The following is a 1,233-nucleotide window of genomic DNA, read 5'->3' as shown; positions in this document are numbered from 1 at the left end:
CGGGGGAAAAACAATACAGAACATAGCACCACAATGAAAAAACAAACAAAAAGAAAACATGGGATTTTCCCACCCTCTGCCACTTATCAGATTTTCAGTGGATACCTATGCCTCATCCTGTACGTGTATTTTAGTGAACTGGCAGTGTGTGTGTGTGTGTGTGTGTGTGTGTGTGTGTATGCGTGTATACATAAACACTCTCTACCTATGTGTGTATGTGTATATATGCGTATATATATTTTGATGTTTATATTAATTTGTATCTCATATCTGTGAACCCCAGTATTCCCATCCCAAATTATCCAATGGCTATGATTAAAGTTTAATCAGGGTTTTTTTTTTTTTTGGCAAAGAAGAAAAACGGTCTCTTCTACATTTTTGTTGATGTTATGAATTAGCAGGAGATATTCTGAAATAGAGTTGCCTACATGTTGTTTGAAAATTGTTTACAGCAAATAATGAACAAAGCAAATCAGATTGCCAAAGGCCTTGCTGTTGAGAAAATGTAGCACATTATTAATTAAAATACAAGTCAGCTTTTCCAGCACTTGTAGCCTGTGGGTATCAAATGTACTCCACTTGATTGAATCAGGTAGTGGCAGCACAGGCATTTTTTATTTTGTGCTGGAAGGGATAACAAAAATGTAAAGCTGTTTTCTGCTACTTCATTTGAAAAAATATTATTTTGGAATGAAGGCCTACCAGCTGCAGCAGACAGGCAGAAATAATATAAAATCTGCATTTGTACCCTAGCCCTGTGATTTTAAACAAGGGGTCTACAACCTCAGATGCTCTCATGGCATTGTATTATAGGCAGACCTTTGTCTATGGCCAAGGAAACAGTTTCCATGGAGATGCAAGGCATTTGACAATGGTCACTGTTTTGGTGGAGAAAATTAATCTAAGCAGGAGGCCAGTTTATAGTTTTAAGATTTTTTTCCTATGTAGGAGGAGGGGAAGAAATAGTTGAGAAGTAGCAGAGAAGAAAAACAAATCTGCCTTTTGGGTATTCTTTGTAACATGCTGAAGTCAGTGAAATTTTGAAAAACCACAAACTATGTTTCCAGTTTCAATGCTGATGGGAATTCTCAGGTGAAAGAAAAAAACAGTAAAGAGAATATGATCTTTACTAATACACTTAAATATTTAGCTCACCCCTAGGATAAGTCAGGAAATAATGCTGAGAGTGTTTTTTTTTTTTTCTCAAACACTTTGGGTTAATTAAACTAGGAG

Source organism: Homo sapiens, chromosome 2 (genome assembly GCF_000001405.40).
Source record: "Homo sapiens chromosome 2, GRCh38.p14 Primary Assembly".
NCBI classification, from domain to species: Eukaryota; Metazoa; Chordata; class Mammalia; order Primates; family Hominidae; genus Homo; species Homo sapiens.
The sequence above is the reverse complement of the archived record's forward strand: the minus strand, read 5'-3'. Positions refer to the sequence as shown.